The following is a 3,705-nucleotide window of genomic DNA, read 5'->3' on the forward strand; positions in this document are numbered from 1 at the left end:
AGAATCAATATCATGGCAATTGTGACCCAAACAATCTACAGATTCAGTGCTATTCCTATCAAACTACAAATGACATTTCACAGAACTAGAAAAAATTATTTTAAAAGTCATATGGAACCAAAAAGGAGCCTCAATAGTCAAGGCAATTATAAGAAAAATGAACAAAGCTGGAGAAATTACAGTACCTGATTTCAAACTATACTATGAGGCTACAGTAACCAAAACAGCATGGTACTGGTACAAAAATAGGCACATAGACCAATAGAACAGAAAGAAGAGACAAGAAATAAGGCTGCACATGTACGACCATCAGATCTTCAGCAAAGCTGACAAAAACAAGCAATGGGAAAAGACTCCCTATTCAACAGATGGCACTGAGATGACTGGCTAGCCATATGCAGAAGATCGAAGCTGGACCTCTTCCTTATACCATATATAAAAAGCAACTCAAGATGGAATAAAGACTTAAATGTAAAACCCAACTATAAAAGCCCTAGAAGACAACTGAGACATTACCATCCTGGACCTAGGAACAGGCAAAAATTTCATAACAAAGACATCAAAAGCAATCACAACAAAGTCAAAGACTAAAGAGCTTCTGTGCAGCAAGAGAAACTATCAGAGTAAACAGATAACCTACAGAATGGGAGAAAATTTTTGCAAAGTATGCATCTTACAAAGGTTGAACATCCAGCGTCTATAAGGAACTTAAACAAATTTACAAGAGAAAAACAAACCACCCCATTAAAAAGTGTTTAAAGGACTCGAACAGACACTTCTCAAAAGAAGATATACAAGCCACCAACAAGCATATGAATAAAAGCTCAAAATTATGTGTCATCAAAGAAATGTAAATGAAAACTGCCATCTCACACCAGTCAGTATGGCTATTATTAATAAGTCAAAAAAATAGTAGATTGTGATGAGGTTTCAGAGAAAGGGAATACTTATACACTGTTGCTGGGAGTGTATCATTCCCAATGGTAAATTAGTTCAACCATTGTGGAAAGCAGTATGGCAATTCCTCAAAGAGCTAAAAGCAGAACTACCATTCTACCCAGCAATCCCATTACTGAATATATACCCAGATAAATATAAAGCATTCTACCATAAAGACACGTGCATGCAAATGTTCAATCCTGCACTGTTTGCAATAGCTAAGACATGCAATCAACCTAAATGCCTATTAATGACAGACTGAATAAGGAAAATGTGCTACGTATACACCATGGAATATTATGCAGTCATAAAAATGGGCAAGATCTTGAAGTACAAGAGGACTCTGCTGGCAACAAGATACAAGCAGGGAGTAATGGTAGAAGAGGAGCAAAGCTGGTTGTCAAGGGCTCTCTTCTGATATAGAGAGTTAAAAATATCTGCACAAATGCACTAAGTAAAAGAATGGGAAGATGAGCTATAATACCAGAGACAGAAGGCATTCCTCCCAGAAGCAAGAAGGGAAGTGGAGCACAAAACAATGTCACAGGGTACTGCTACCAGAGTTGCACAAACTGTGCTCTGTTCCAAGGGAGAAACACCTCAAGATAAGAGGGAAAGCAGCTCTCTTTTTTATCATTTCTCCCTGATGGTTTTAAAGACCCGAAGCCCAGACTCTTGCAGCACTGAACCATAGGTGGGATACAGGGAGGAGAGACAGAGGGTAAGGAACATGAATGATGTTAAACACACAAAGCCTCTGTATCCCTTCCACAGACTTCCCAGCCAGGCAGTTGTTGGTAGGTTGATACTTGATTTGGGACAAAATTGCAGGGGTATGAGGGGGTGGCTCTCAATTAAAAAAACAACTAGGAAATCCAATTTATTTGTTTTCCTCTAAGGGCTGCTTAGCTCTACAGAAATACACCAAGGGCCCTCAATCTATCCTGTTTAACCAGGAAGGGGAACAGGAGACAGGGAGAAGAAATGGTCAGATGAAGATCATCTTCTCATCATTTGCCACCCAGAAGAAGAGAGGGAGGTAGAGACTGTGATGGGGACTGCTGGTATTGCATCATCTGTCTTTCATTGTTGATCCTATTGGCCAAATCAGGTGCACACAAGTATCTACATTGCTGCTTTTCTTCTAATCCTTGCAGGAGAGTCAGATGCCCATCTCAAACTGAGCATCATCCCCAACTGCGTGTTTCCTCTCATGATTGTTTATGTTGTTCAAATTGTTTACTTCTACTCTGGAGTCTTCGATTAAGGTGCCAGGGCTAGTGACTTCTGGGATATTTGGTAGATGGCAGGGTGGGGTCTGAACCATGGGAGAATTGCAATAATCCAACAGAAACTTTCTATCATAAAAGATTTGAGTTCCTCCCCGTGTGGTGAGAAGAGTGCCCCCCCTCCCCCGCAACCCTGTGTGGTGCAGTAGTCATGAGGTAACTGTGCAGCGTCGCTGATGGCCACGGTGCGGCTGGGGATGGTGCGGCTCTGGCTGAAGTCCTGTTGTACTTGAAGACAGTGAAGTGATTTTGTCTGTTCCCAGAACAGCACCATACCAAGCAATAGAGGAAATTTAATCTCCACTTGGTGGGTAAGGTTTGATCACAGTATTTTGTCCGATAATGCCTAAGAATGATCTCTGTAGAGTGTTGACCCACTTGAGTACCCACTCTCAGTAGTCACTTTTAAATACAGTGAGCATTGTGATATTTGTTCTCAGATTGCAGTTTCTTATGTTTTGAGTTTGAAGTTGATTTTTAGAATGTTCCTAGAGAAGAACTGCAGTTTTTTTTTTTTTTTCCTTTGTGGATCTGCTTTATTTGGCTGCTGGGATAGATAAGTATGGGCTTAAAAAATGTGTTCCTCCTTTGTTCTCTTGTCTTTCCTATTGTACTCTGAATTTCCCTTCCTTTTCTTCTCTCCCTCTCTTCCTCCCTCACTGTCTTCCTCTCTCCTTCCTTTTCTTCCTTTTTCTCTGCCAGGCCATTTTTCAAATGTACATCAAAGATACCTCAAGTGTTTGTTTCCGAGAATATCTGTCAGTTCTCTTATCTGAGGAGTGGCCTTTTATTTTTATGACTTCAGGCCTATTTTTAGAGATTTTTCAGTGCAATTTTGAACAGCACCTTTTTAATGAAACATCTTCCAGTGTTAGAAAGGTGAGAAATGTTCATAGGCGAGTCTGCTGTTCTATGTCACCATCTTTTGTCGCCCCCAGCCCTCCAGGAGCTCTTTCCTTACCCCTCTAGTTTTGAGTGTGCATGTTTGGAGTTTATAGTGAGTGGTTTGTAAAACTGTTTAATTCTGCCTTGCCATGGATTGTTCATGAAAGCCTCATTGTTTTCCCTGACCCTTTAGCTTTTGCATTTACCCTCCTCTTCACCCACCTTTCCTGGGACTAGTGCCCTGCATAATAATCTGTGAAGAATGACTCTCCATAGAAAGACTAAAGCATCCATCTCCTCGTAGTTAAGTAAAGTAGCCACTGGTAGTGGCTGGGAATTTCTGGTTGTATTTGGTGCCTTGAGCCCTCTTATCAAGAAATCAGATCCCAAGGTGTGAGTAACAGGCCAATTGGCCAAAAAAGAAACATGTTTGTTTTCCTTTTGATCTACGAAAAGAACCTGTTTGTGAATATAGTTTAGAAACAAGAGAGGAAGGATGTCTGCAGAACTTTGTTGTGTTTTCTGCTACAAAAATATGAATAGTTCAAAGAATGAAAATCTTTTGTGATGGTTGATGTCTCTCAGGAATATG

The 3,705-nt window shown here is 40.4% G+C and overlaps 1 pseudogene; it reads right to left on the reverse strand.

The window, feature by feature from the left end:
- On the reverse strand, nucleotides 1,263-2,443 carry EIF4EBP2P3 (eukaryotic translation initiation factor 4E binding protein 2 pseudogene 3; annotated as a pseudogene).

The sequence above is a fragment of the Homo sapiens genome, chromosome 6 (genome assembly GCF_000001405.40).
Source record: "Homo sapiens chromosome 6, GRCh38.p14 Primary Assembly".
In the NCBI taxonomy this organism is placed as follows: domain Eukaryota; kingdom Metazoa; phylum Chordata; class Mammalia; order Primates; family Hominidae; genus Homo; species Homo sapiens.